Here is an 18,213-nt window from a genome sequence, read left to right as displayed (position 1 = left end):
CAATTTTTAGTGTCTGCTGTGAAGATTCCTCAATTTGATCCGACCATATGCATAAGTTTGGCTAGGATTCAATTGGCTGTCTTCCATTCCTCTAGCTAAAGATTCGATCTCTTGTATGGAATACAGGAATTCAAGACTTGTATTTTCAATGTTGATCATGCCCTTCATCAATAAAAAGGGTCCTCTTTGACTGTCTAATGCTTTTTTCCCTAATTTTATCTTGAATTTCTATTGCAACTGCTGTTTTCTCTGTCTCTTTACTTTTCTCATGCATTTTTATGCATCATTAAAAAAACTTTCTGAATCATATTGATTCAGATATCATTTGGTTATTTCTTGGGAGCATTCATTCAGTCTGAGTGCCCTTGTCATTTTTTTTTTCTGAGACAAAGTCTCACTCTTACCCAGGCTGGAGTGCAGTGGCACGATCTCGGCTCACCATAGCCTCTGCATCCCAGGTTCAAGCGATTCTCCTGTCTCAGCCTCCTGAGTAGCTGGGATTACAGGCACACACCACCATGCCTGGCTAATTTTTGTATTTTTTTGGTAGAGACAAGGTTTCACTGTGTTGGCCAGGCTGGTCTCAAACTCCTGGCCTCAAGTGATCTACCCACCTCAGCCTCCCAAAGTGCTGGGATTACAGGCATGAGCCGCTGCGCCAACCTATCCCTGTTTTAAATTCCACTTGTGGTTACCTTTAGGTTAAAAAAAAAAATACAGTTGAGGCCAGGTGCGGTGGCTCACGCCTGTAATCCTAGCACTTTGGGAGGCCGAGGCGGGCGGATCACAAGGTCAAGAGATCGAGACCATCCTGGCCAACATGGTGAAACCCTGTCTCTACTAAAAATACAAAAATTAGCTGGGCGTGGTGGCGGGCGCATGTAATCCCACCTATTCGAGAGGCTGAGGCAGGAGAATTGCTTGAACCCGGGAGGCAGAGGTTGCAGTGAGCCGAGATCACACCACTGCACTCCAGCCTGGCGATAGAGCGAGACTCCATCTCAAAAAAAACAAAAAACAAAAAACAATTGAATTTACATTTCTCTAATTATCAGCAGCAGAAATGAAAGAATATCTATTCTCTCCTTTGTGAATAGGATGTGAACTCTTCTGAGATCACACAAACGGGTTTCGATGCTCTGAGAGTCACACAGGCTGGGTGTAGGCATACTTGGGATAACAGACTGGGATGTGAACCCCATGAGTCACACAGACTGCAGTTTGGAAATGCTGGGGTCAGACAGACTAGGTATAGATACTCATATCGACTGTGATATGAACACTTCTGGGGTCACACAGACAGGAATTTGGACACTTATGGGTCACACAGATTGGAGTGTGAACTTACGGGTTCAGGGACCAGGATGCCAACAATCCTCAGGCCACAGAGACTAGAATGTGGACACTCCTGGCCACATACATACTGGGACATGACTACTTCTGGTGTCACACAGAGCAGGGTGCAGAAACTCCTGGGGTCACACAGTGTCAGGTATAGATCACAGGAGTGTCCATACGCCAGTCTGTGACTCCACTAGAACTCACATTTATTTCTGTGAACACTTATGTCCACACTGCAGTCTCTCACCCCATTATATCCTGACTGCAGTCTGCATTTCCTTAATAGTGACCACTCTGAAGTCCTTATAAGTCCAGTAATTTAATCTTCTATATTTGAGTTCAGATCTGAAGGCCACTAATGCTGAAGTATTTGCCATAAGCCCAGGTTTAAAGTGTAACCGAAGAGGCATGGATATAGAGACACTTAACAATTGTCCAGTTGGGTGCAGTGGCTCACGCCTGTAATCCCAGCACTTTGGGAGGCTGAGGCGGGCAGATCACCTCAGGTCAGGAGTACCAGACTAGCCTGGCCAACATGGTGAAACCCTGTCTCTACTAAAAATACAAAAAAGTAGCTAGGCCTGGTGGCGCTCACCTGTAGTCCCAGCTACTTGGGAGGCTGAGGCAGGAGAATCACTTGAGCCTCAGAGGCGGAGGTTGCAGTGACCTGAGATCACGCCGCTGCACTCCAGCCTGGGCGACAGAGCAAGACTCCGTCACACACACACAAAAATAAATAAACTCTGTCTCAAAAACAAAACAATGGTCCAAGTTCAAGGTCAGAAAATAGGGCATGGGTGATGGACTAGTTAACACATGCCAGGGTCAGTGCTTTAAAACAGGAAGGTATCAGCCGGGCGTGATAGCACACCCCTGTAATCCCAGCGCTTTGGGAGGCTGAGGCAGGCGGATCACTTGAGGTCAGGAGTTCGAGATCAGCCTGGCCAACATGGCGAAACCCTGTCTCTACTGAAAATACAAAAGTTAGCTGGGCATGGTGGCGCATGCCTGTAATACCAGCTACTCGGGAGGCGGAGGCAGGAGAATCACTTGAACCCAGGAAGCAGAGGTTGCAGTGAGCTGAGATCGTGCCACTGCACTCCAGCCTGGGCAACACAGCGAGACTATCTCAAAAAAAAAAAAAAAAAAAGCCACACGTGGTGGCATGCACCTGTAATCCCAGCTACTCAGAAGGCTGAGGCAGGAAAATCGCTTGAACCTGGGAGGCAGAGGTTGCAGTGAACCAAGATCGTGCCACTGCACTCCAGCCTGGGTGACAAGAGCAAGACTCTGTCTCAATAAAAATAAAAAAATCAAACGGGAAGGTATTGATGGTAAACTCACTAACCAAAGTCCTTGTTTAAGGGGGCATTAACAATGGTAGTTTTATCAGAGGCCTGTGTGGAAGGCAACACTACCAGAGAGGAATTTATAGTGGAAGAATGAACAGACACCATCGTTTAAAGTCAGACACGGACATTGATGTTAGGAGAGTTAATACACAGAGTTCAATAATAGACAAGAAAAGCACTGATGATAGAATAAAGACACCCAGATTTGAGGTCAAGTAAGAGGGGCAAGGAGTTTTAATTAGTTCTGCTTTAATTATTCTGTTAAATATATAGACAAAGAGGTGGGATTTGATATTGGGATAGTTAGAAAATGCTTGAACTCAGACTAGAGGAACATTCCAGGCGTAATAGTTAACACAGACCTTGGTTTAGGATCAAACCAGAGAAAAAGGGATGAGGACAATCAAATGAATATCTAGGTTTGAGGTCAGTTCAGAGTGGACTCGAGTCTAGAATACTTAACAGAGCCTGGAGTTTGAGTTCACACTCTAGGGGCACTGGTGTTGGAAGAGATAACTGTACAAGTTCAATGACAGATCCACAGGACACTGGCGATGGAGCAGTTATCAGAGGATCAGATTCAAGGTCAAACCAGATGGGAGTTGGTGGTGTATTTAACAGAAGACTGGTTTGAGAAGGCTTGGAGTGGAAGGATTTGGGGATAGTTAAATGGCTGTGTTGGCTAACTAGACTAGTAGATCTTTAAATATGAAATAGGAAATGTAAGTCCTGGTTAAGAATCAGACAGACTAGAGAGCAAGGATAGTGGAAGAGCTCTGATTAGGGACCAGGATGATATTGAATATGGAATGACTAGAAAAGAGAACCCAGTGGCCAGGCGCGATGGCTCACGCCTGTAATCCCAGCACTTTGGGAGGCCGAGGAGGGCAGAGCACGAGGTCAAGAGATTGAGACCATCCTGGCCAACATGGTGAAACCCTGTCTCTACTAAAAGTACAAAAATTAGCCGGGCGTGGTGGCATGCGCCTGTAGTCCCAGCTACTTGGGAGGCTGAGGCAGGAGAATTGCTTGAACCTGGGAGGCGGAGGCTGCAGTGAGCCGAGATCATGCCACTGCACTCCAGCCCTGGCAACAGAGCGAGACTCCGTCTGAAAAAAAAAAAAAAAGAAAAGAAAAGAGAACCCAGATTTTGAGAACAAACCAGAAGAACATTGATGCTTAACAGTAGACCAGATTTGAGATCAGACCAATTGACGGTGTGAGTTAAAATGGCCTACATTCAAAGTCAGATCAGAGGAGACTGAAGGTTGAATAGTTAAAAAGAAGACCAGGCATTACCCATGTGGCATTGTTGGATGAAAACTGAACCGAGGTCCAGGTTTGATTCGAGACCAGAAGGACCTTTAAGCTAGAATATCAAATGAAGGTCAGCCGGGCGTGGTGGCTCATGCCTGTAATTCCAGCACTTTAGGAGGCCGAGGCAGGAGGATCACTTGAGGTCAGGAGTTTGAGACCAGCCTGGCCAACATGGTGAAACCCCATCTCTACTAAAAATACAAAAATTAGCCGGGCTTGGCGGCGGGCACCTGTAATCCTGGCTACTCGGGAGGCTGAGGCAGGAGAATCACTTGAACCCAGGAGCAAGAGGTTGCAGTGAGCCAAGATCGTGCCACTGCACTCCAGCCTGGGCAACAGAGTGAGACTCTGTCTTAATAAATAAATAAATAAATAAATAAAGTGCCTGGGTTTGAGGTCATAGGTACTGGTGAAAGAAACATTAAGAGATGCCCAGGGCCGGGCACAGTGGCTCACGCCTGTAATCCCAGCACTTTGGGAGGCCGAGGCAGGCGGATCATGAGGTCAGGAGATCGAGACCATCCTGGTCAACATGGTGAGACCCCCTGTCTCTACTAGAAAATACAAAAAAATTAGCCAGGCGTGGTGGTGGGCACCTGTAGTCCCAGCTACTCAGGAGGCTGAGGCAGGAGAATGGCATGAACCCAGGAGGCGGAGCTTGCAGTGAGCCTAGATGGCACCACTGCACTCCAGCCTGGGCGACAGAGCGAGACTCTGTGTCAAAAAAAAAAAAAAAAAAAGAGAGAGATGCCCAGGTCTGAGATCAGACCAAAGAGTCAGTGATAGTAGACTAGTTAACAGAGGCCTGGGCTTAAGTTTAGACTCCATGGGCATTAATGGTACAACTGTTTTGTTGTTGGTGGTGATGTTGTCGTTTGGGGTTTTTTTTGAGACGGAGTTTCGCTCTTGTTGCCCAGGGCTGGGGTGCAATGGCGTGATCTTGGCTCACTGCAACCTACGCCTCCCGGATTCAAGCAATTCTCCTGCCTCAGCCTCCCGAGTAGCTAGGATTACAGGCATGCACCACCATGCCTGGCTAATTTTGTGTTTTTAGTAGAGATGGGGCTTCTCCATGTTGGTCAGGCTGGTCTCGAACTCCCGACCTCAGGTGATCTGCCCATCTTGGCCTCCCAAAGTGTTGGGATTACAGACGTGAGCCACTGTGCCTGCCCAGCCAGTGGTGCAACCGTTAATACAGAAGTGCAGACTGGAATTGACACCATAAGGGCATTGGTGGTGACATAATTAACAGAGGCCCAGATGTAACGTCAGGACTGAGGGTCCTCGAGGTTGGAATGGAGCAAAAGGGCACCGTCACAAAATACAGTAGTTAATAGAAACCCAAGTTCAGTTCAAGGTCAGATCAGAAGCCAATTGCTAGTGAAATATTATACAGTAGCCCTGGTTTGAGATTTGACCAGTGGTACACCAGTGGGGTAATAGTTAACAAAGGCCCAGCTTCGTTCTGAGACCAGAGAGGCTTTTTTTTTTTTTTTTTTTTTTTTAGTCTCGCTCTGTCGCCAGGCTGGAGTGCAGTGGCGCGATCTCGGCTCACTGCAACCTCTGCCTGCTGGGTTCAAGTGATTCTCATGCCTCAGCCTCCCGAGTAGCTGGGATTACAGGCACGCGCCACCACACCCAGCTAATTTTTGCATTTTTAGTAGAGATGGGGTTTCACCATGTTGGACAGGATGGTCTTGATATCCTGACCTCATGATCTGCCCACCTTGGCCTCCCAAAGTGCTGGGATTACAGGTGTGAGCCATCGAGCCCAGCCATTTTTTTTTTTTTTTTTTTTTTACACGGAGTCTCGCTCTGTCACCCAGGCTGGAGTGCAGTGGCGCGATCTCAGCTCACTGCAACCTCCGCCTCCCGGGTTCAAGTGATTCTCCTACCTTAGCCTCCCGAGTAGCTGGGACTACAGGCACGTGCCACCACGCCCGGCTAATTTTTTTGTATTTTTAGTAGAGACAGGGTTTCACCGTGTTAGCCAGGATGGTCTCGATCTCCTGACCTCGTGATCCGCCTGCCTTGGCCTCCTAAAGTGCTGGGATTACAGGTGTGAGCCACTGCACCTGGCCCAGAGAGGCTCTTGATGGTAAAGTAGTTGACAAACACACAGGTTCAAAGTCAGACAAAGGGCAGGGAACAGTTAATCGAAGCCTCGATTTGAGGCAAGACCAGAGTGGAATTGATAGTGGAATGATTGACAGAGCTTCAGATCTGATGTGAAACCAGTGATGCTGAACAAGTTAACCGAGGCCCAAATGTGACTGATAACACTATTTTTATTCTTTCTTCATTATTTATTCCCCCTTAGGTGGTGAGTCAAGAAAAGTGCCACCAAGATGAGTTTAAAGTAGAATGTCAAATCTGCCACCTCAAAATTTCACAAGGAGGAAACCCCCAAAATCATGCACAACAATATTCACAATCAATCATCTTGAATCCAGACTCAATAGACAATGTGAAGAGTGTAAACAAAAGAAGAAAGTGTTAGCGAAAAAGGAGGTTCCTCAAAATTATCCTGCCATCCACAGACCTTGGTAGAAACTGGGCATCTGTGTGGTGTTGCACACTGTGCAGAAAAACAGTAACAGAGCAGGCCTCAACTGCGATCCTTGGAAAGGCCTGCTTCAAGGTTGGCCCTTGGGTGGTGTCTAAGAACATAGACTCCAGGAGGGTTCCCACCATTCCCTAAGAGATAAGAATGGCTCACTCGGGCCGGGTGTGGTGGCTCACACCTGTAACGCCAGCACTTTGGTAGGCCAAGGTGAGAGGATCACTTGAGCCCAGGAGTTCAAGGCCAGCCTGGGCAACATGGCAAAACCCATCTCTGCAAAAATCAGCTGGGGTCATGGTGGTGCATGTCTGTGGTCCCAGCTACTTTGGAGGATGAGGCAGCAGGACCGCTTGAGCCTGGGAGGTTGAGGCTGCAGCGAACCATGTTTGAGCCACTGCACTCCAGCCTGGGCAACAAAGTGAGACCCTGTCTCAAAAAAAAAAAAAAAGAAAGAAAGAAAAAAAAGAATGGCTTACTCTACCTAAGCTGTTTGTATAAAAAAGTGGGCCAGGAGCGGTGGCTCATGCCTGTAATCCCAGCACTTTGGGAGGTCGAGGCAGGCGGATCACAAGGTCAAGAGATGGAGACCAGCCTGGCCAATATGGTGAAACCCCGTCTCTACTAAAAATACAAAAATTAGCTGGGCGTGGTGGTGGCAGGCGCCTGTAGTCCCAGCTATTCAGGAAGCTGAGGCAGGAGAATTGCTTGAACCCAGGAGGCGGAGGTTACAGTAAGCCGAGATCACGCCACTGCACTCCAGCCTGGCGACAAAGCGAGACTCCGTCTCAATTAAAAAAAAAAAAAAAAAGGTGGTTTATGCTGAGCCCCTGCTTTCCTTTTGGGAGCCTGGGATTTGGGTAGGTGCCAGGCAGGGGGTGCCTATGTGACCATGCCCCAATAAAAACTTGATACCAGCCAGGTGCTCACGCCTGTAATCCCAGCAGTTTGGGAGGCTGAGGTGGGAGGATCACTTGAGGTCAGGAGTTCAAGATCAGCCTGGCCAACATGGTGAAACCCCATCCCTACTAAAAATACAAAAATTAGCCGAGCTTGCTGGTGCGCGCCTGTAGTTCCAGCTATTCGGGAAGCTGAGGCCCGAGGATCGCTTGAACCCAGGAGGTGGAGGCTGCAGTGAGCCAAGATCATGCCACTGCATTCCAGCCTGGGCGTCAGAGCAAGACCCCCCCCCCCCCGCCAAAAAAAAACCAAAACAACAACAACAACAAAAAAAACCTCTGGGTGCTGAGTCTCTAATTGAGCTTCCTTGGTCAGCAACATTTCGCATGTATTGTCACAACCCATTACTGTGAACCGAGCACATCTTGTGTGACTCCAATGAGAGAGAAGCCCTGGAAACTTGTGCCTGGGTCTCTCTGGGAGTTGGTCCTGCACACCATTTCTTTTTGCTGATTTTGCTCCATATCTTTTTGTTGTAATAAGTCAATCGTAGCCATGAATACAACCACATACTGAGTCTTGGGAGTCCTCCTAGCAAATCACTGGGCTTGGGGCTGGTATTGAGGACCATGACACACACACACATACATGACCTTTACCATGGGAACAATCCAGCTCACTGATGTCCCTATCTCACCACCATGTACCCTGAGGTCTATTAGATGGAAGTGCCAGTTAGAAATGCTTGGGGTGCAAGTAACCACACTGTCAAATAACTGGACTGAACAAACGGGAGATTATTTCCCTCCAACAAGACTGTTGGTGCGAGTTCAGCAGCTCAGCAATGCTGGGCCAAGCTGGAGTCTCTACCACGCTGTGGACTGACCCTAAGGTCCCAAGATGTCAGTCGCAGTTCCAGTCAACGCATATGTGGCAACAAATGGAGCTGAGAAGGAAGGGAGGGGCCGGAGCAAGAGCCTCTTTGCTGCTTCAGGTAACTTTGACATTTTCTGGTGACGCAGGCCACTGATAAGTGATTTTGGTTATTTACCCCCATCAATACTCAAAGCTTTTTCTCCTCTCTTGGGGCTCCCCTCAAATACTTAACATCACTTTTTGGTCTCTGAGCTGTTCCAGGGCTGGAATTTGTACCCTGGATGGGGCTGGGAGGAGACAGGGGTGGTCTGAGGGATGGAGATTCCGCCACACAGCAGGAGGCCCCAGGTCAGCCTTAACTTCCCGTTGCTCCTGCACCAGCTTGGGGCTCCAGGACTCAACACCTCTGCTCCCTGCTTTTAATAAACAACACAATGCACAGAAGGGTTGGGAATATCGCCCCCTGAGGAGGCAGCAGAGTCCTGCAGCCTAACATAGTGAACCCCCTGGGGGTCCGACCCAACATTCCCCCGCCAACTCCTCCACTGTCACTACCCTGGTGCAAGTCCCCATCACTGCGCTCAGAGGGGTCTCCTGCTGGGTCCCCTGCTTCTACCCCCACCCCCAATCTGTCCCCTTCAGCAGCCAGAGGGAGCCTCTATGACCAAGTCAGATCATGTTCCTCCTCTGCTTGACACCTTCTGGTCACCCCCACTCAGAAAAAAAGCCAAAGTCCTAACTGTGGCCCATGAAGCATCTGGCCTGTCTGACCTCATGTACTGTCACACTCTGGTCCAGCAAGACTCTGGCATACACAATGATCCTTCTGGAGCGCTCCAGCCTCAGTGCCTTTAGGCTGGCTTTCTCTCTGCCTGGAATGTTCTCCCCCTACACTATGACTCCCACTCACTTCATTCAGGTCTTTAAATGTCACCCTGAGCCAGGCGTGGTGGTTCATGCCTGTAATCCCAGCACTTTGGGAGGCTGAGGCGAGTGGATCGCTTGAGCCCAGGAGTTCAAGACCAGCCTGAGCAACATGGCGAGACCCCGTCTCTACTAAAAATACAAAAATTACCCGAGTGTGGTGGCACACACCTGTAGTCCCAGCTACTTGGGAGGCTTAAGTGAGGATCACTTGAGCCCTGGAGGTTGAGGCTGCAGTGAGCTATGGTCATGCCACTGCATTCCAACCTGGGTGACAGAGTGAGACCCTGTCTCAAAAACAAAAAAGTCACCCTGTCAGGATCATCTTCCCTGATGCTGTCACCATAAAGAGCCCACTCCCCCAACTTCTGCAGCTCTGTCTCCCATCCTTGCTTTATTTTCTTCATACCACTCATCATTAGCTGGCCTGTTCCATGTTTTTATCTACTGTCTCCGCTATGATGCAAGCCCAATGAAGGCAGGCATTTCCATCAGTTTAGGTCAGAGCAGTATCCCCAGTGCCTAGAACAGTTCCTGGCACACGGTCAGGGCTCACTAATGTCTATCGAATGCATAAGTGTGTAAAACAGTTAAGGCAGGGCCTGTAACCCAGCAGACATTCAATCAATGCTTGTGGAATGAATGAATCCGTCGATGCATGAATGCACAAATGAGTCAATGAACCCCGTTCCACCGTGTTCCTGGAGCTGCCCGCTGCCCTCTGCCCTGTCCGTCCCCGGCAGAGCTGGGAGCCGGCCCTCAGCATGACCACCGAAACTTTATTTACAACACGAGGCTGGAGTAAGAGGGGTGGGATGGAGGACAGCAGCAGGGCCGACAGGACCCTACTTCTGCTCCCGCCTCCAGACGATGACCATGCCGCTGGCGTCACTGGAGGCCAGTAGGCTCTCGTCGCAGTTGAAGCTGACATCAAGCACAGGTGCACTGTGGCCCTGCAGCTTGTTGACAGCAGCCTTGGCCGCCCGCTCCACATCAAAGAAGTGCACGCACATGTCCTCACTGCCCGTCACTGTCGGGGTGAGAGGGAGAGGCCATCGGGAGGCGCCTGGGGTGCCCCTGGTGGGAAGTCCCTGAGGTGTCTGAGGTGTTGAAGGGTGTATGTCCGAGGTGTGAGGTCCTAGCATGGCTTGGGGAGGTTTGAGGGGGCCCCATCCCTAGATGGGAGGTCACCTGGCTGTTTTGGTACTGTGTGCAGAATGCGAGGTCTCTGGGCTGTTTGGGGAGTTAGTGCGTTCAAAGTGTGAGTTTTCATCACTTCTCGGCCTTTTGGCCGAGATCAAGTGCAAACTGTGAGTTCTCTGAGCTGTTTGGAGCTGTGAGTTCCACAGTGAGGCTGTTGGGGCAGGAGGGGTCATGAGGTCCAGGAAGTCAGGGCATCGGTGTCGTGATGTCTGAGCCAGGTTGGCACCAGCCCTGGTTCCTGCCCCTCCCCAGCCACCCAGATCCCCTGTCCCTACAGGACTCACCCACGCAGGCCCCCTGGCGGAAGGACATGAGGGGACAGAAGATGCTGCGCACAGGATGTGAGCTCTGCTCGATGGGGAAGCTTCTCTTCAGCTGCAGGGTCCCCTCGTTGTCTACCACCCTGAGAGGATGAGAGAGTGGGTCAAAACACAGCCCCAGCCCTAGCAGGGAGACAAGTTGTGGGCCTGTGTCCCCACCCCTGTGCCTAAGTTCTTTACAGGGTTCATGAAACCCATATTTTTTTTTTTGTTTTTGAGACAGGATCTCACTCTGTCACCCAGGCTGGAGTGTAGTGGTGCGATCACGGCTCACTGCAGCCTCAACCTCCTAGGCTCAAGTGATCCTCCCGCCTCAGTCTCCCGAGTAGCCGGGACTACCTATAGGCACACACCACACCCAGCTTATGAAACCCAATTCTGAGATGACTACATAAACTATAAGTAGGGGCTGATGTGTGAGTTACTGATGGTTCAGAAACTGTCTCTGTTGATATAAATGGGAGCCTCTGCAGTTTCATTCACTAGTTTTTCTTTGTAAGGGTCTCTAAAAGATCCTGGTATTAAGATAAGCACAAAGAGAGGAAATGAACACACCATGGTATGCCCACACTGTGGAAAACTGCACAGCCCTTAGAGAGAATAAAACACTGTCCCCACAGGTAACCTGGGGGGGTTTCCACAAGGCATTGCCTGGTGAGAAACTCGAAATGTAGGAAAGGCCATTTCTTTTTTCTTTCTTTTTTTAAGAGATGGAGTCTGGCTCTGTCACCCAGGCTGGAGTGCAATGGCACGATCTCGCCTCGCTGCAACCTCCGCCTCCCAAGTTCAAGCAATTCTCCAGCCTCAGCCTCCCAAGTAGCTGGGATTATAGGCGCCTGCCACCATGCCCAGCTAATTTTTGTATTTTTAGTAGAGACGGGGATTCACCATGTTGGCCAGGCTGGTCTTGAACTCCTGACCTCAGGTGATCCACCCGCCTTGGCCTCCCAAAGTGCTGAGATTACAGGAGTGCGCCACTGTGCCTGGCCGGAAAAGGCCATTTCTTTAAAACGTCTTTCTTTCAAAACTGTGGTGGGAGCTAGGCAAGGTGGCTCACGTCTGTAATCCCAGCACTTTGGGAGGCCAAGGTACAAGGATCACTTGAGGCCAAGAGTTTAAGACCAGACTGAGTAACACAGCAAAACCTCATCTCTACAAAAAATAGATTAAAAAGGTTGGCCGAGCATGGTGGCGTGTGCCTGTAATCTCAGCTACTTAGGCTGAGGTGGGAGAATCGCATGAGCCCAGGAGTTGGAGGTTGCAGTGAGCCATGATCATGCCACTGCACTCCAATCTGGGTAACAGCAAAACCCTGTCTCACAAACAAACAAAAACATACATGGATATATGTACACGCCTAGGATTTGTGGAAAGAGAAGGATATGTGGAAAGATGTGGATCATTAATGGGCTTTACTGTGGCAGGAGGAGGCCAGAGGTGGCAGGAGGAAGAAAGGAGAGGCTGTGGGAAATGGGCAAACTTAAGGGTACGCTTAAATTAAAAAATTGTTAAGTATATATACAGAAATTGTTTAAAAAGGAGGAGAGAAATAAAGGGGTAGAATAAAAAGCATCCTGTTAGGCAGTGGTTTTCAGGACTGGCCAGACATTGCTTAGGGAATTTCTCAATCTACCAATGCCCAGGCCCATCCCAAAGCTTCTGAAATTACTGGCCTGTAGAGGGGCCCAGACAGGAGTTTTTGAAGCTCTTCAGGTCATTCCAATGTGTGGCCCAGGCTGAGAACTGCATTTGGGTAACATGACAGATGTGAGTGGGGACAGTAACCCCCACACTACTCCCCGCAAAAAAAAAAAAAAAAAAAGGAAGGAAGGAAGAAAGGAAAACAGGTCTCTGCTTTAAGTAGCCCTAATCTATTTTATGCTTCAGTTTGCTCACCTGCAAAATGGAGATAATAACAGCACCTACCTCACAGGTCGGTGCAAGGATTGAATGTGGTGATACGTGGAAACTGCTTCGAACAGGGCCTGGCCACAGTGATGGCTGTAAACGCGCTCACTACTGCTATTACTGTTACTGCTACTACTGCTCCCTCAATTAAATTAACCTGATGGAGGAGATGAGCTACTGTCCCAGTGTGCTGGAGGAGGCAGGTCCTCCGTCTCCAGGAGGCCCTGATGGGGGACCCACCTGTAGAGCAGCAACTTGTTGAGGCAAGCATTGATGAGCAGTGAGGGATCCCGGGCCTCGCGGCTGACCCAGGACCGGGCTGAGATGCTGGTCACAGGGCTCCCCTCATGCACCACCAAACGCTTGGCTTTGGTCAGCTTCCCTGCAGCAGCAGAGGGAGGGAAGGCAAAGGTGAGGGTGAGGGCTGTGCCCTGGGAGGGCTGGAGGGCGAGCACCCAGATGCAGGCCTGCTGTCTGCCTACCTGTGGCCATATCAAAGAGGAAAGAGAAGACACTGCCACGGTCATCACCCGCCCAGAGCAGCCGGCCAGGGGCATCAAAGGACAGAGCAAGGACACGGCCTGTCAGCTTGCTGGAGCCCCCCTTCACTTTCTTGCCTGTGGAGATGTTCATGACATGCACGTTGTGCTTGGCGTTCCCCACCTGTGGGGAGAATGCACAGACCATCATCCTGCTTCCAGCCAGGCCCTCCTTGAGTCTGACCACAGTGGGGCTGCTGTTGATGCGACTGGCTGGTCCCTATTAGAGTCTATTCACAATAGGGCTGTGGCAGGTAGACAAGGTGACCAGGCATGAATCCACCTCCCTAGCCAGCCCCTTTTGCAATCTGCCCAGAGTAGGCCACCTGCCTACGGGACTAAAGGGCCTTCAGAGCCATCATGCTGCCCCTTGGCCAGTCCTCCTACAGTGTGAGAACCATAGGGCCTGCCTAGGCCTGTGATCCCAGCTTTCCCCTGCTCCCTGGCTGCTCCTTTCTGGAACTTGTGGGGCTGCTGCTAATGCGGGGAGGATCCCGGCCCACAAGCTCACTCTTGGTCTGTTCCTCTGCAGTTCACCCCACTACACCCCGGGCCACACCAGACTTTCTAATGTCCTTCCCCTGCTCTCTGACCAATCTACCCTGGAGTCTGACACGGTGGGGCCACTGACAGACCAGACGAGGCTCAGCCTCATCATCCTGCTCCTCAGAGGTAGCCCCTGCAGTTGGAAAACTGTAGGACTGTAGCTGATGGGACCAAAGGGGCTCCAGAGCCAGAACCCTGACCCTGGCCCGTGCTCCCTGGAGTGTACCACAGCAAGGCCAACCCAGATCAAGAACGGCATTCCCCTTTTTATGGGGGGTGGGGGCGGAGTCTCGCTCTGTCGCCCAGTGGTGCCATCTCGGCTCACTGCAAGCTCCACCTCCCAGGTTCACACCATTCTCCTGCCTCAGCCTCCCAAGTAGCTGAGACTATAGGCGCCCGCCACCATGCCCGGCTAATTTTTTGTATTTTTAGTAGAGATGGGGTTTCACCGTGTTAGCCAGGATGGTCTCAATCTCCTGACCTCGTGATCCGCCCGCCTCCGCCTCCCAAAGTGCTGGGATTACAGGCGTGAGCCACTGCGCCTGGCCCACTCCCGTCTTCTGATCTGCTTCCCTTTTAAGTCTGACCACACTAGGACTGCTCTGACGAGATTGGGTGGGGGGTGGGGGGGTCCTAGGCCCCCCCTGGCTGTCCCTCCTTATACTCTGATTCCCTCAGATAGCCTTCCTGACCCAGCCCACCAGCCCTTGGTGAGTGGGTGTCCTGGAGCCTGACCACAGTGAGGTTGTTGTTGACAGGCTGGAAGGTGCAGCAGAGCAGTTCAGCGCTATCGGGGTCAGGGATCTCTCGGATGCAGCGACCATCCTCAGAGGCCCAGATGCGCATGGTGGCATCCAGTGAGGTGGACACGAGGATGTCATTGGAGAGGGACCAGGCGAAGTCGGAGACACCACGGGTGTGGCCCCGTAGCACGCGAAGCACTGTGGGTGGGGCAGGCACCAGCTGGCACAGGGAGATGCTGCCGTCGAGTGAGCAGCAGGCCAGGCGGTGTCGGTCATCATTGGCGAAGCGCACCCTTGGGACTGCAATGCCAAGAAGCCATTAGTGGGAATCTGCACACTCACTGGGCACTTTTCTCTCTAAAAGGCTCTGACGTGTGTGCCTGGGGCTGGGGCCCCACTGCATGAGGAACAGTGGCCTCAGCAAAGGGCTTTCCTTGGCTGACAAAGGGAACTGTAACCCCTGAAGACCCTCTGCCAAAGCTCCCTAAGTCTTAGCAGCTCCTTTGCAGATTGCAAAAGTCTTCTGCAACATGAAAAAGTTCCTGTCTTAGCGAACACTTTATAATCAAGGTCTTGGCAATTTGCAAAACCCTTGACACTGTAGCCCACTCTGCCCTCTGCAAGGGGATTTATCATCAGCAAAGGCTTTGAACTCTTCCAAGTGACTCAGGAACCCAGGCAGCCTGCTGCAAAGGGCTCTCTCTTAGGCTTCTGAGGCCCTTTCCAGTAGACGAAGCACTGACCACTTTGCAGAGGGATTTTCAGTCTACAAAAGGCTTTATGGATGGTCATTCCTCCTTTGGAGTGTGCCAGGGGCCTTGGATTCAGAAAAGGATGCCTTGGTTGGTTGTCACAGTTTGGGCAAACGCTTGGTGATGGAACCCGCTACCCACTGGCTCACCTGCCTCATCCACGTGCTGGTCAAAAACATGATACATGCCCGCAAAGGCATAGTTCTCGCTCAGTGACGTGTCCCCGGCCATGGCCCGACTTGCCTCTGCTGCTGACGTGGGCACCACGCTGCCAGGGGGCCTGGGCCCCAATAGGAAGTGAGGGGTGACAGGAGGTAGATGCGAGAGTGTTCAGTCTGCCATTGCCCCAGGGCCCCTCTCCTCCTCGCAACCCGCCCCCCGCCTTGGCTGCCTCTGGTGCATACCTGTCCTCATAGACGGCACGGTTCATCTGCGCCTGCAGCTGGTAGGAGCCTCTGCTGACAGAACGACGGTGCCCACGGGCCCCCAGGGCCCGAGGATCATCCTCAAAGTCCTGCAAATGGAGAGGGTCAGGGTGGGTGCATCTTGCAAAAAGCCCGAGAACCTTTGAGGTGTGGAGCCCTGAAAATCTACCTAGAGTCAGATCACTTCTCACTGTGTCCCCTGCCACCACCACCGCTGCCCACTTGTACTACTGCAGTGGCTTCCTCACGAGTTCTGCTGTTCCTGCCCTCCCCCTGCTCAGCAGATACTAAAGACAGGGCTTGCTATATGTTTACTGACCTGTTTACAAAGTTTGTGTGTTTACTGGTTTACTTGGCATATTATCTTTTTGTCCTCTGCTGATGCAGAACAGTGCCCAGCAAAGAGCAGGTGCTTGATGAAAGTCAGTGGAGTGAATGTGTGCAGGCAGGGTATGCCCGGGGGTGAATGTGGCCAGAAGCTCACCTCCATGCGGTCAAGAGTAGTGCGGCTACTGCGGACGATGCTGTTGCTATAGGCACGAGCACTGCCTGGCTCGGAGAGGGGCCCGTAGCGCTGGCCCAGCAGCTGCCCCCGAAGCCTCAGGTACTGCCGACGCAGCGCTGGGGGGTGCCCAGCCTTGGCATTCTCCCGCAGCAGCTGGCTGCGCCGGCGGATATACTGCGTCCGAAACTGTGGAAACGTTGGTGTGCGGTACGCGTTGTACCTGCAGGGTCAGGATGCAGGGCAGGCAGCAGGCACAGGACAGAGGGAATCAATCAGCTCGGGGGGGGGGGTACGGCAGGAGAGTGAGGTGTGTGGCAGTGACTGGGGCCTAGGTGGTAAGAATGACTAGCAGTGGTGATGAGGGACCTCTTGGTCCTGTGGTGGGAGTGAGTCTGCAGTAATAATGAGCATGGTCATGAGGTCAGTTTGCAGACAACAGAGTCAGTCTGCTGCCGTGCTGGGGTCCCTACGGGGTGACTGGGTCAGCGCAGACAATAATTAGGGTCAGTATACCAGGGCGACAGAAATCAGACTGACATTATGGGGGTCAGCGTTGGGAGGTGATGGGGTCAGAATGGGGAAGTGATGATGTAAAAAAAAAAAAGTCTAGGGGACACCCATAGGGGATAGGATGTCACCTGCCTGAGCCCCACCTCCCTCTCACAGGTAGCCGCTTTGCGCATGCCCACATCTGACCACATTTTCCCAGCTTGCTGTTTAGAATCCTCTCCGGCGCAGCCAACTCACCGCGGGCGTGCCCGCCCCCGCTACTGCGCATGCTCACCTCCGGCATGCCCACGCAGCCGCATAAGGCAAGTTCTCCGCCCAGCCTCACTTATCGCCATTGCGCATGCACCACAGTAAGTTCTGCTCCCATGGGCTTTGACCCCACGCCTCACCTCGCGTCCACTGCTAAGACTTGCTGCCACACCGCGGCCATTCCCCGGCCTCCTCCTCTGGCGTGTCCGCCCGCGGCAGCCTGCAGGACAAGGGCCTGGAATGTGAGCGTCCCGAGCGAAGGGATCTAGTTCCGTCCCTTCCACCAGGCGACCATTGCCATAGACATCGAGTCCCTCCGCGCCGGAGATGTCACGAACTCCCCCCCGGGTGTTACCATGGTCATCACCCCAGCCCTGCCCTTCCTGGGCAGCGCCCGGGTGACACACAGCGATTCAGAACAGACACCGCCCCTCCCCAGTCGCCATAGCAACGCCCCTCCCCCGCCTAGCATTCCTTGCTTGACATTCTCCACCCATCTTGTCCCCGCCGCCCTCCGCCTTCCCTTCTCAGATCCAAGAGCATAGCCCGGGATCGGGGACCACCTCCGGGGCTGCCTCCGGTTCTTGAGGCCCCCCGGAGCGGCCCTGAGACCACTGTCGCCGGTTCCTTCTGTCTCTCCTCCCTTTCTCAGGCTCCAGGCAAGATGGCTGCCTGCTATCAGAAAGAACTGCCGAGCCCAGAGCGAATCGATAGGCATCCTTCCCAGGGCGTGGGAGTCTCGCAGGCGCATTGAGGGACATTGGCTTCAAGCCCAAGGACGGAGGCTCCACCCCTTGACTTCTACCCACTCGTTAATTGCACTTTTTGTGTATACAAGGATAATGTCCAAGGGACATAGCGTCAGGGGTGAGTTTGCTAATCATTCCCTAGAAATCAGAAGTACAACATTATAAAAAAGAGAAGAAACACGACTTTTAAAAAGTGGTGTAGGGCCGGGCGCGGTGGCTCACGCCTGTAATCCCAGCACTTAGGGAGGCCGAGGCAGGTGGATCACTTGAGGCCAGGAGTTCAAGACCAGCCTGGCCAACATGGTGAAACCCCGTCTCTACTAAAAATACAAAAATTAGCCGGGTATGGTGGCGGGCGCTTGTAGTCCCAGCTACTCGGGAGGTTGTGGCAGGAGGATTGCTTGAGCCCAGGACGCGGAGGTTGTAGTGAGCTGAGATCGCGCCACTGCACTCTAGCCTGGGCGACGGGAGTGAAACCCTGTCTCAAAAACAAA

The 18,213-nt window shown here is 51.9% G+C and overlaps 1 protein-coding gene across 5 annotated transcripts, besides 4 other annotated features; it reads right to left on the bottom strand.

Moving 5' to 3' along the window:
* Positions 6,279 to 17,656, bottom strand: WDR13 (WD repeat domain 13). 5 transcript variants are annotated; one of them, NM_001347217.2, is made up of 10 exons: positions 17,534 to 17,656; positions 17,111 to 17,190; positions 16,191 to 16,431; positions 15,686 to 15,795; positions 15,431 to 15,561; positions 14,522 to 14,829; positions 13,184 to 13,364; positions 12,942 to 13,083; positions 10,758 to 10,876; positions 6,279 to 10,300 (listed from the first exon to the last, which is right to left on the bottom strand). In NM_001347217.2, exons 2-10 carry the CDS (start codon positions 17,149 to 17,151, stop codon positions 10,116 to 10,118), a joined length of 1,458 nt encoding a protein of 485 aa, NP_001334146.1. In that variant the 5' UTR covers positions 17,152 to 17,190; positions 17,534 to 17,656; the 3' UTR covers positions 6,279 to 10,115. The 5 variants fall into 5 exon arrangements, 4 of the variants coding, with proteins under 4 accessions (NP_001334146.1, NP_001334148.1, NP_060353.2 ...); NM_001347219.2 differs by having other exon boundaries at positions 16,191 to 16,397; NR_029427.3 differs by having other exon boundaries at positions 16,191 to 16,397; positions 17,111 to 17,656.
* Positions 8,713 to 9,007: a silencer, noted in NCBI's record as "tiled region #1547; K562 Repressive non-DNase unmatched - State 18:Pol2". NCBI's record gives its function as "represses a minimal TATA promoter and a strong SV40 promoter by Sharpr-MPRA in K562 cells {active_cell/tissue: K562}" and the evidence as "EXISTENCE:reporter gene assay evidence [ECO:0000049][PMID:27701403]".
* Positions 16,861 to 16,920: an enhancer, noted in NCBI's record as "active region_29606". NCBI's record gives its function as "activates an Ori minimal core promoter by ATAC-STARR-seq in GM12878 lymphoblastoid cells {active_cell/tissue: GM12878}" and the evidence as "EXISTENCE:reporter gene assay evidence [ECO:0000049][PMID:35858748]".
* Positions 16,941 to 17,010: an enhancer, noted in NCBI's record as "active region_29605". NCBI's record gives its function as "activates an Ori minimal core promoter by ATAC-STARR-seq in GM12878 lymphoblastoid cells {active_cell/tissue: GM12878}" and the evidence as "EXISTENCE:reporter gene assay evidence [ECO:0000049][PMID:35858748]".
* Positions 17,031 to 17,350: an enhancer, noted in NCBI's record as "active region_29604". NCBI's record gives its function as "activates an Ori minimal core promoter by ATAC-STARR-seq in GM12878 lymphoblastoid cells {active_cell/tissue: GM12878}" and the evidence as "EXISTENCE:reporter gene assay evidence [ECO:0000049][PMID:35858748]".

The sequence above is a fragment of the Homo sapiens genome, chromosome X (assembly GCF_000001405.40).
Source record: "Homo sapiens chromosome X, GRCh38.p14 Primary Assembly".
Taxonomy (NCBI): Eukaryota; Metazoa; Chordata; class Mammalia; order Primates; family Hominidae; genus Homo; species Homo sapiens.
The sequence above is the reverse complement of the archived record's forward strand: the minus strand, read 5'-3'. Positions and strand labels throughout refer to the sequence as shown.